Source organism: Homo sapiens, chromosome 10 (genome assembly GCF_000001405.40).
Source record: "Homo sapiens chromosome 10, GRCh38.p14 Primary Assembly".
In the NCBI taxonomy this organism is placed as follows: domain Eukaryota; kingdom Metazoa; phylum Chordata; class Mammalia; order Primates; family Hominidae; genus Homo; species Homo sapiens.
In genome coordinates this window covers 86054465-86066466 of record NC_000010.11, presented here as the reverse complement: position 1 = coordinate 86066466, position 12002 = coordinate 86054465, and the positions used below count along the sequence as shown (strand labels likewise).

General features: G+C 48.4%; 1 protein-coding gene across 1 annotated transcript in view, besides 1 other annotated feature; it reads left to right on the top strand.

Annotated features, from left to right (window-relative positions):
• GRID1 (glutamate ionotropic receptor delta type subunit 1) overlaps positions 1 to 12002 on the top strand; it is a 767244-nt gene that overhangs the window by 300329 nt on the left and 454913 nt on the right. The gene's annotated exons all lie outside the window — the stretch shown is intronic.
• Positions 7705 to 7911: a silencer, noted in NCBI's record as "fragment chr10:87818313-87818519 (GRCh37/hg19 assembly coordinates)". NCBI's record gives its function as "represses an EF-1alpha promoter that drives an FKBP-Casp9 reporter gene in an ReSE screen in K562 erythroleukemia cells {active_cell/tissue: K562}" and the evidence as "EXISTENCE:reporter gene assay evidence [ECO:0000049][PMID:32094911]".

The following is a 12002-nucleotide window of genomic DNA, read 5'->3' as shown; positions in this document are numbered from 1 at the left end:
CTCATCTGGAAAATGGGGATGAGTGTCCTCTCTTAGGGCTAAAAATTGTAATACCCCTGGCACACAGCCCATTGGAAAATTCTAGACACATATTAGCTGCTCAACTGTCAGTAACAGTTCTTATTATCACTCCTGGATTTCAACTCCCAGCTTGGGTTTGAGCTTGTGGGATGTGTGCAGTCCCTCCTGGCAGGTCCTTGGGTCGGAGCCACCGTGGAGCAACATCCCTGAATTCGTCTCTCTGGGAAGGGGCTGCCGGGCTGGGGGATGTGATAAATAACTTTCTTCCGAATCGAGTCTTACATTTCAGTCAACTCAGCCTCCTGCTATGTGTGGGCAATTGCACCATCTTAATACCGCTCTTCCCCCTCTTTAATCTGTCTTTTCAGAATGTTCTGTCAATTAGAAAATGCTTGTCAGCTAAGTGACTACTCAGGAAAACAACTTACATGACTTCTCCAGCACTTGAAGAATTTAAAATAATGTCAGGGGATTAACTTGCAGGGAAAGGCATTGTTAGGAAGGAGGGCTGCTATTCAGAACTGCCTCCCAGTCTGTACAGTTTCATTAATAACACCTTTCATTCTGTAGCCCCTCACATCTAGAAGGATCTTGAGTGATTAACAGATGCTTTGAATAGGAATTACTTCATCTTCTGCTGAAATATCACTTCTCCTTGGAGCTGCAAGCATTTGATTGTCACCATCCTTGTCATGCCAGACATAAGAGGGCTGAGGCTGCCTCGTGGTCAGTCTTGCTGCTCCAAATTAGAGGGGTATAAATAATCACCAAGTGAATTAGTTTAATTCTGCAGAAGTTCCTGAGCCCTGACTAAGGGCCTGGCTTTGTGTTAGGTGCTAGGGAGGCAGGAATCAGAAATAGCTCCTGCCCCAAAAGATCCCACTGGCTAGGAAATAGACAGGTAAAGAGCACCTGGCCACAGGGCAGGGGAGTGCATGCAACAGAATTTGAATGCATGTGGCTGGGAGCTGGCCCAGGACTCAGCTGTGCTGGAGCCAAGGCCGGAAGGATGGGGGTATGAGGTAGAGAAGGGTGGCAGAGGGCACAGATTGGCCTTGCTGCTTGGACCAGAGTCCACAGAGCTGCAGCAGAAGTTCTCAGAGGGGCAGGTATCATAATCCCCTGGAGGGCTTGCTGCAGCACAGACTTCTGGGCTCTAACCTTGGAGTTTCTCACTCAGTAGATCTAGGACAGACCTGGGAATTTGCATTTCTAGCACATTTCCAGGTGATGCTGACGCTGCTGGTCCAGGAGCACACTTGGAGAACCACTGTGCCAGAGGATTGCCAGAGGGTTGCAATCTCAGATAGATGTCTATGGAGGCCAGTGAGGGAGGCCGGGTGGTGGCCCTAGTGGGGTGCTCAGCCAAGTGGGAAGCATGCACCCCGTGCAAAGAGAACAGCTGCTCCTGAGCCACAGCCTCTGGCTGCTACATGGTAATGTGGGATGAGCGTTACTAGATTTTCTGCTCAGTCTGGAAAGAATGGGAATCTCAATTTTTAATATAAAATGTTATTTTTATGATGCCACATGGGTCTGAGGAAATGCATTTGCAGGCTTCATGTGGCCAGCGAGTTTTCAGTTTGTCTTCTTTCTTTTAAAGAATGAATAGGAATTTTCCAGGCAGCTGGGGAGGGAAAGGACTTTTATGCAAAGGAATCCACAGGTGCAAATGCCTGGAATAAGATGCTCTGAGTGGGGAAGTGTGAGGCTTTCTGATTGGCTGGAGCATCATGGTTGCTGGGTACTGGGGAGTGGAAAGGAGGAGTTGTCGGAGAGGTGAGAGGTAGCAGGGAAGGGCCCATGGAGCTTGGAGAAGGTTTAGATTTGATTTCTGACTCCAGCATGGCCAGCTTTGCCTACCAACCTTGGTTCCTCTGTGTTCTGGGATGGAGGAAACATTTGATACCCATTGCAGCTGGCCCAGCACACTGAGGCAGGCACTGTGCCCTCAGGGAGCCATGCGGAGTTCTGATGCCTAGCACCTCTGGTAACTTGCATCCCTTCCAGGCCAGCTTCTGTGAGGCAGCGGTGCCTCCCTTAGGGGAGGGACCTCTTGTCCCTGTCTCCCCAGAAGAGGAACCAGGAGGCCTTTTTTCATCACAGACGTTGTGCTCAACATCTTGTCCTGAGAGGGTCTTTGGATCAGACAGACTCAGGCTGGGTCTCATGTGCACTTTGGGCAAGTTGCTAGAACTTTCTCAAACTCTGTTCCTCAGCTATAAAATGGGAAAAATGTTTGTGAACATTGATAAAATTATTTTTAATGTAAGTAGGCCAATAGATTGTTTTTCTAAGCTATGTGCTTTTTAGGAGATTATACATTATCATGGCAGAGAAAACATAAATATATAAACAGCCATAAAGGAAAAAAAACGAACAATTTAAAATTACACAAGTTCCCAGTACCTTGAGATAAACATCATTAATATCTTTGTATCTCTTCTTCTAGATCGGGGGTTGACACACTCTTTTTTAAAGGGCCAGGTAGTAAATAGCGTTGGTTTGTAGCATATATGGTCTCTGCTGCAACTCTTCATCTCTATACTTAGGCCTGACAGTAGCTACAGACAGTTCATGAACAAATGCATATGGGTGTGCTTTAATAAAACTTTATTTATAAAAACAGGCCCCTGAGTTGAGTTTGTTGACCCTCTTTCTAGACTTTCTACAAAGTTCCATGTATCCTTTATTTTATAAATATGGAAGTATTCCTACTTTTTCTTCTTTGGTCTGACTTTTCACATCACAGTATATCATGGAAGTCTTCCATATCAATATATATTCACTTACATTTTTATTTCTAAAAGCTGCAAAGTATATCTTACAATAGCAGATTGGTTAAGCACATTATGGTTCTATTCATAATTTATTTAAGCATCTGGTACTGTTGGATGCTTTTCCAATTCATTTTTACTGAAACATGATGCTGAGGATAAGATGTATCTTACACTGTTGCACACTTGCCCAGTTTTGAAATAACCTTTTTGGAGTCTGGGCACTGTAGTTATTGGAGAAGTGCAGGCTGCTCTCTCTGGGCCCTCTCAGGTTCCCGTTCTGGCATTTCCCATCAGTCCATGTTCTCCATTGTCCAGTTCACCATGAGCTCCTTTATGCTTCCCAGCGGCTGGCGTATGTTTCTCTAGCACCTGTGGGTTTTCCACTATTACTTTGTCAATTTTATGTACATTGTGTGTACTCACCATTTCCACCTGAGCACAAGCATATGGACTTCAGGCTTTATTTTCTCCTTGCTTTTGATAAGTGTGTTCCAGGGCAGTTGCCTCAGTTGTCCTGCCTCTGACAAGAGGGAGTGGCATTGTTGCCCTCAGTAGTGAAGACACATGGGTGCCAGGTGGGGTGGAGGTGGAGGCTCCATCCTGTCTCTCTTCCTGGGCTGGGGCTTGTGACAGATTCCTGAACGGACCCCTGTATTCATCCCAGAGTGGGTCCCTCCCAAGTTCTGGGTAGGACCCACCACCCTGAAGACCTTGGAGATGCTCAGGCAAGGGGAGAGGGGTCCTGTTGATCTGTCCCCAGTGAGCGATAGTGAGGGAAAGCTTTGGGCCCCAGTGAGAGGCTGCTGTTAGCCCTGGGCATGTGGTCAGCCACGGCCACAGGACCCACAACAGCCCTGCCTGTGCCAGACGGGTGCTGGGCATGGGGTTCACACAGATGTGGAAGCCATAGTCTCCCCTTTCAAGGAGCTTACGGTCTGGAAGGGTAGGTGAGAGCACATGACTGGTGGGATATGAGTGAAGCTGGTGACTGGCATAGTGGCGATGGCTCTGGGAGCTAATAATCATGGTGGGGACTCCACCAGGTACTTTGTATTCCTACACAGACTCCCCATGACAGTGCAGCAAGGTAGGCATTTGTCTAGGGCAGGCTTCTTCCAAGCAGACCTTGAAATGAGGGTTCTGGTACAAGTCTTTCCTAAGAAGGTGCTCGCAGAGGAGTCTGGGAAGGGTGGGGAAAACAGGACAGGGAAGGGCCAGAAGCAGGGGTGGAAGCGAATCTGAGTGGGACCTCCGGAGAAGACCCCTAGATGTCAGACCGAGCTCCGGGTGCTCTGGGGGGTGAGTTACACCCTGGAATGTCCCCGAGGCAAAGGGAGCTGGGCCATCATACCCTCACCCTCATCTTAAGTGTGCGTGTGTGTGTGTCTGTGTGTGTGTATGAGATGCTCAGGCCCTTCCAGGCCTCTCTGCCTGCGGGCAACATGGCTCCAGGAGCCAGAAAGCCATTCTCTGAATAAGAGCCCCAGGTAGGTGCCGGGGGTAAGATGCAAAGCACAACAAAGTTTTGCCCTCATTTAACCAGAATGTTGCTATCCCCATTGCACAGTTGGAGAAGCGAAAGCACAGAACAGATGGTGGGCTCATCTGCAGACTGTGGGAAAGCCAGGATTGTCGCTCAGCCTGTTGAGTGCTTTCTCTGATGTCCATAGGGGTGTCTAAGGGAGAGAATACAGTCATGGGCTCTTAGTTTCTATTTCTGGTTGGGCCAGTAAAGCTGCTTCCTCATCTCTTTTCTGCTTATCACTAGAGAAAGAAATTAAGAACCCCTGCTTCAGCCTGCTAAAAGCCCAAAACAAAACCAAACAGAACAACAACAAAATAAGGCAGGTTGAACAGGCTCGTGACATAGAGAGGTGAATCTGGCCTTTGGGGAATGGGAGCACTCCAGGTGGATTCCTGCAGGAGGAGTCTTGGTGAAGCCTGAGCATGCAGGGATGGCCCTTGGAGCACTGGCAGGAGGGACAGAAGCAGGCTGGGTCTGAGGGAGGCAGGTGAGTCCTGCATGATGGGGACCTCCAGAGGGGTCTGGGGGAGCAGCAGCCATCTGGAATCACAGTGCCAGGCTTTGCTTCACCTTGCTGAGTGGAGAGGGGTCTTGACTGCATCTCACTGGCTTTTCTTTGAGGAATAGGAACCTGGCAGTGGTGAGCAGGACAGATTGGAGAGGGCGAGCCAGACGGCAGGGCTGCTATTTTGAAGCTGATGTCTACTGGGAGGTGGCTGCTTTCACAATGGAAAGGGAGTCCTAGACAGACAGGATCCTCTCTGGATCCCTTCCTGGGAAGGGGCCAGGGAAGAGGGAAGAGTCAGAGGCCAGGCCAAGGCTTGAGGGATTCTTTGCAGTGCCCTGCAGACGTGGAACTATAGTGGGAGCTGGGAGTTGTTATTTGGTTCTCTTGAGCTGCCTTTGGCAATTCAAGTGGTGGAGCTGCTCGGAGCTGCTGGAAGGTAATTGGATTGGAGGGTCCTGAGCTCTGCAGAGAAAGATGCCAGTGCTGCAGATGTGAGTGGAAAGTGAAGCCTGTAGAGTACCCCCAGGAGGTGGGGGTGGGAGAAGGATAGTGGAGGCACCAGGAAGGGCCAGTGCCATGGGGGCCAAGGTGAGAGAGACCACTAGAAGGATGGTGCAGGCAACTGGGGAGGCATAGGGAGTCCTGCGGGGTGGAGGCTGCTCTGCCTTCTCTTTGGAAAGGGGCGCATTGTAGAGTCAACTGATCTGCTAGTGCCTGCCAGCTCTGTTGGGAGGTGGATACCCAGAGGCCTTGACATCTGTCAAGGAGGGAGCTGCCTGTGGACAGGGGACCAGTCTATGGAGAGTACAAGGCATCCAAGGAGCTTGCTGGCCATGGTGCAGTAGCTGTGGCCTGGAGGCTGGAGTCTTGAGCCTGGACTAGGTGCCGTGTCCTCTGGAGGGACTGAGTGAGACACAGCCTGAGGTTCTGTTCCCCACAAACTCAGGAGCACTGTTCATGTGCTGAAACCAGTCCAGGCCAGCGCCCTGCTGTGGTGGAGCATCCGACACCCGGGGACACCTGACATGGTTAAGTGACCCGGGCTTTAGAGCGGGGCAGATGGGGCTATAATCCTGGCTGTGACTTTTGTGCCTGTGCCCCTGAGCTGCTCAGCCTCCAAGGCCTCCCTGGATGTGATCTCTCACCAATATACTGGGGATATGCTCCCTCCAAAGTCTGGGTGCCCACATTGGGTGCTCTGGCTGGTGGGTTCAGATCTATCTTGTGGGTAGAATTGGGCAAGCTTCCCACTTCGCCCCTGTAGCTAGTTCCTATAAATGCTGGAATACAGAACATCTCCTAATAGAAAGTGCTTTATGCATTTTCCCAGTGGGGAAATCCTATATTTAGGGGAGGGGGTCAACTTGTAGTTGAACATAAAAACTCTTAGGGAAGCAGATGAAAGACTTTATGTCTATTTGTAGCATTTGATTTATTAATTTAGTTACACATACATATTTAAATTCCCATGCCATGTAAAATAGTATTTAATTTAGAAATCTGCTTTTTTTCCCCTTCTGGCAGTTATGGAGCAATTTTATTCAAAGCCTTCCCAGGCCCCATCATTGCCAGAGCCACTGTGCGTAGCATTGAACACAATTTTCCAGGGCACAGAATCTCCACTTCCATCATAGTTGTTTGAGACCCAACACTTTGTGGCTTTGTGTAAAATGCTGTCACTGGAGAATTTATCACAAGCTACGTATACTCGTTTGCATAATATTAGGAGAGTGTTTTTTTTATTTTCATTTTTTTCTTTAGGTATATATCTATGATCTTCATAGTGTAACTACTTCTGATATTGCTTTTTAAAGTGATTTGTAAAAGACTTGTTTAGAACAACATCCCCAGCTTGTAATTCTAAGGTCAAACCCAGGAATAATTATTAAATAGGGGTTAAATATCTTTGCCTTCTCTTTTAACGATTCCATCAAGCAAACTCTTATGAGCATCCAAAACTAGCATTGATTGAGGTCATTTCAGGCTAATGTTTTTTCCCCAAATGGTACTTTGTTGGTTAAAATAAAGTAAATGAGAGAACTGCCCTTTAACAGGAGAGTTTGTCAGGAATTTGAATATAAGTTCACTCACTCTTCTTATTGAAGGATGATTTTGGAAAAAAAATTACCTTTGCCTTTTGCTTGGTCACAGAGAGTAGCAGTGGCTCCACAGGTAATTGTTGTTACATTGAATGAATGCGCAAATCTAAGGATTTCATAAATACCTGTGTATGGCAGAATGCCTGGCACATAGTAGGTGCGAACTGAAGACAGTTCTTTTCTCTTCCTGAGCCCCACTGTATCTTTACCATCTTTGCATTTAAGGAGTGACCTGCAGGTTACTTTTGTCTACCCTCTCTCACTCATGATGTAATCAGGCCCCTGACAAGCAAGACCTCTTGATATCCACTCACACAGCGAGACTCAGAACGCTTGTGGACCAGCCGCACCTGCTCCCTTTGCCTGCCTTGTCTGAGACCACATGGATCCTCATCCTCCATGGGTCCGCTTTGTCATGACTTATTCAAGGGCTTTGCACGTGCTGCTTCCTCTGCTGGAATGCTTTTCCCCTGCCTCCTCCTCCTCATGAGCTCATATCCATCTCTGGTGACTTCCTCTGGTCCCTAGATGAGATCAGTCATCCCTGCTCAAACTCCATCTGCTGCCCAGTGTTATGTCCTCACAGGGCCCAGTACCTGTTCTTCCTAGCGTTTATCCAGCTGCAGTTTAGCATGCATTTGGGTGATTATTTGATTGATGCATGTGTCCTCCCCTAAATTATAAGCTCCTCAAGGGCTGGGACCTGGTGTCCCTTCACAGCTGTGATCCCCATGCTGAGCATGGTGCCAGACACACAGCGGGTGCTCAAGAAAATATTTGCTGCATGTTTGGCTGAGTTCATGGTGCCTGCAGATTAAGAAGTTTAATGGAAGATGAAGGGTGGCATCTTAACATCCTGACCTGCTTCTTGGGTCTTGAATCCCCTCCCGCAGGTCTCTGGCAGATGTCAGTTTCTGTCATTTTGCACAGATCTGATGGGCTCAGGAAATGAAGGTACATGGATGCCCAGAACTTCGAGCTGTGGTCATTGTCTCTATACAATGTGTCACTTCTTTCTCTGGAGAGAGTGAGTTGGACCTTTTAGTTTAATCAGCCAGTTTTGGTATTTCTGGGACTCAGGAGTGTGGGCTGAAAGTTATCTTAAAAGATCACTGTACTGGAGAAGCTGAAGTTGTGGGCTAATGGGGAACCAGTTGTAATGAACATGGAGAGGTTGGACTTGATAGCTCTCATGTCAGCATGCCTGGAACCTGGGGCCGGAACCATCCAAACCAACTAGAAGGTCACACAGAAATGAGCTGAGTTCTACCTTGCTTCTACCTGACCTGTTCTGCACACAAGTGTTCCATCCAGCCTCTTGCTTTCTCTCTTCCTTTCCATAGGAGGGCTGGGGGAGGAAGGGGGGCCCAGGGGTCTCATTTGTGCACTCCAGCTTCCTCCCTTCCTCTCTCCCTTCCTTCCTCCCTTTCTTCCCCACTTCCATATCAGATTTTTCTGGTTTTACTTCCCCAAAGCTGATTTCTACTCAAATTTTGATCCCAAGATCTGCTTCTGGGGACACCTAACCTATGACACAATGGATCCTCCATTTCCCAAGGCAAAACTCCTAGTTAGAATTCCACGAACATTTCTGGAGCGCACACCGCATGCCTGGCATAGTGTTAGATAATCAACATGCATGCGTAAGCCAAAGCAGGCATGGCTCCTACTCTCCTGGGGTTTACTGACTTGTGGGAAAGACAGACATTAACTAAACAGTTCCATGGCCAGGAGAATAAAGTCAAGATGCATTAGAGTGTGGAGAAAGAAAGAGATGTGGTTCTGAGAGGGAGTAACTGAGGAAATGGCCCGAAACTGGAGGGTCAGGGAAGACTTCCCTGAGGCAGTGGTCCTTGAGGTGAGACCTGAGAGTGGGAAAACTGAACCAAGTGGGAAAACTGATCCCTCTGTGCTGAGGGATGTTAGTCGAGGAACTGAAGGAAATTGGGATGTTGGGAACCCAGCAAGGGAAGGCTACAGTGAACACCCGAGGGCCAATGGAGTAGGCAAAGGTTGAGACTGCAGGGTGTCGTCAAAGGTTATCATCTTTATTTAAGAACAGAGAAGAGCCATGGCTTGGTTGATGCAGTGCAGCTGCACTAAGCAGGATGGGGATACAGGCCATGTCTGGCCATTGCAGAAGAAGGTCATCCCAGACACTGGGGAACCTGGCACATCTGGGAGGTTACTATGTGGTACCACAGAAGGCAGAGTTCTCATCCACCTCATTCCTGACCTGAATCCTAGGTGACTTCTGTGAAATCTTCAGAGAAGTGACTGCAGGAGGGATCTCCTTGAAGACCCAAATGTCCTGTTCTCTGAAAAGGTTTCTTTAATGCTCCTTCTACTCTGTCTCTCTCTCCAAGCCAGGATTAGTTGCCCTCTCTGTGGGCTCACAACCCTGTAGAAACCTCTGTAGAGTCCTCTCCACTCACTGGAGGGTTCTCGAGGGCCAGGACCATGTCTTGTTAGTTGGAATGCAGCCTGAGTCCCAGGGACAGCAGCCCTTTATGGATGTGCTGAAGGAACTTCACCTTCGCTAAGAGTTCTACCACAGTCTAAAGCCAGGCAAGGGGCAGTTCGCCAGCTCTGCAGGAAGCACAAGGCATCTTCTGATGCTTCGTGGCATCTCAAATGAGGCTCTGTCTTTGCACTGCAGATGGGCCCGAGGCCCTAGGGGCTCCTGATTGCTATGTGGTTTTCAAGCCCTTGGAAGGGCCTGCCAGGCTGCCATATGTATGGGCAACAGCCAAATAGCCTCCTTAAGCTACAGTCTCTGCTATAAGATCCACCACGTGGCTTTGCAGAGGCTGTGCGTGTGACCTGGGGGCTCTGTCTGCTGCATGCAGGGAGCTGCTGCCTCAATGATGCTGGTGGGCGGAAGCAACTTCATTTCTTTGGCTGTAAAGGAGACACCCAGGTCCTACCATCTGTCTGTGCTATGTTAACTGTGTGGCTCGGCAGTCTGATTTATGGGGAAGGGTTTGGGAATGGGGACAGGTGGGAGTAGGAATTCATAAGCAGATCCTAAGAGTTCTGGCTTCTGGAACTCAAGATTGGCACCCTTGGGACACGGGTTGGAAATGAGATGAGAATTCTTGAAGGACAATTCTTCCTTGTTCTTATTACACCTGGAAAAGCAGATCAGCTTGGTTTGGACAAATGAGCACTTCCTTGGGAGATCTTTGTTGCAACATTTCTTTTGCCTTTCTATACAGTCTGACCTTGGCCAATTCATTTGAATCATCTGGTCTTCAGCATCATCATCTATAGAACCAGGAAGTTGGAGTTAATGCCCTCCAAGTCTGTTTCCAGCCTTGGAATTCCATGTGCCTAGAACATTTAGGATTCTGGGACAACTCAAGGCAGGAGGCAGCCCCAAGGGTGTGGCTGAGAAATTTGAAGTGGAGTGGAGTCCACCTGCTCTGGTCACAGCCCTGAGGCTGGGCAGGAAGCTGTGAACTCCTTATTAAGCTTTGGAATCTAACTTTGTCACCTACCAGCTGTGAGACGTTGTCTGCTTAGTGTGCCATAACAAAATACCATAGCCTGGGTGGCTTAAACAACAGAAATTTGTTTTTCTCACATTTCTGGAGGCTGGGAAGTTCGATATCAGGGTACTAGCACTGTTGGTTTCTGGCAAGGGCTCTTTTTCTGGCTTGCAGACAGCTGCCTCTTTTCTGTGTCCTCACATGAGAGAGAGAGAGAGAGAGAGAGAGAATGAGAGCACAGGCTCTCTGGTTCTGGCGTTTCTTCTCCTTCTCCTTCTCCTTCTTCTTCTTGTTGTTGTTGAGATGAAGTCTCACTCTGTTGCCCAGGCTGGAGTGCAGTGGCACAATCTCGGCTCACTGCAACCTCCGCCTCCTGGGTTCAAGCAATTCTCCTGTCTCAGCCTCCTGAGTAGCTGGGATTACAGGCGTGCACCATCATGTCTGTCTAATTTTTGTATTTTTTGTAGAGACAGGGTTTCACCATGTTGGCCAGGCTGGTCTCAAACTCCTGACCTCAAGTGGTCCACCTGCCTCAGCCTCCCAAAGTGCTAGGATTACAGGGGTCTCTTCTTAAAAGAGCACTAATCCCATCATGAAGGCCCCACCCTCATGACCTCATCTAATGTTAACTATCTCTCACAGGCTACATCTCCAAATACCATCACACTGGGTGGTTAAGGATTCAACATATGAATTCTGGGTGTCGGGACACAAACATTCAATCCATAACAGAAAAGTTTCTTTCTCAACTTGAGTTTAGCAGCAATAATGGTACTCACCTGTATCCAGTTATTTATTGCCATAATAATGCAGTGTAACTCTCCCCAAACTTGCAGTTTTAGGCAACAACCACGTTTTATTTCTCGTGATACTACACGTCAGCTGGGTAGGTTTGCTTTCCTGGGTCAGGCTTGGCTGATCGTGGGTGAGGTCACTGATGTCTGTGGTCAGCTTAAGTTTTGGCTGGTTGAGGGTGGCCTTGGCTCATGTGGCTTTTCTCCACATGGTCTTCCATCCCCAGCAGGCTAGCCCAGGCTCATTCTCATGGAAATGGCAAGATTCCCAGAGAGTGAGTGGAAATGGGCAAGAGCTCTTGAGATCTAGGCTCAGAAGTGGCACGTCACTTCCGCCTCATTCTATTGGCCAAAGAAAGTCACAATATCTGCCCAAAGTCAAGGGATGAAATGTAGACCCCACCCCCTAATGGGAGAAGCTGCAAAGTCACATGGCCAAGAGCAGGGATACAGAGAGGACTGGGAAGTGGGACCATTTTTACAGTGAATCTTCTACACCACCTCATATCCTTGCTGTGAGGCTTAAATAAGATTGTGTTCTTATAGTGCTTGATAGTGAAAACACATTAAGAGATAGCTGCTATTATGTTATTATTACACTTAAGAGTTTGCAGAGCTAGACACAGGGTCAGCCACTTTATGCAGCCAGGGGCCAAAATGAGAAGTCCCTCTGGCCTGAGCCTTTGCAGGGCACACTGCTCTCTCCTTTACACCCAGGGAGGAAAGCTGTGGATAAGTGAGGGGCCCTCACCCAGAAGGGGGTTGGCAGGACACTGCTTTTGAT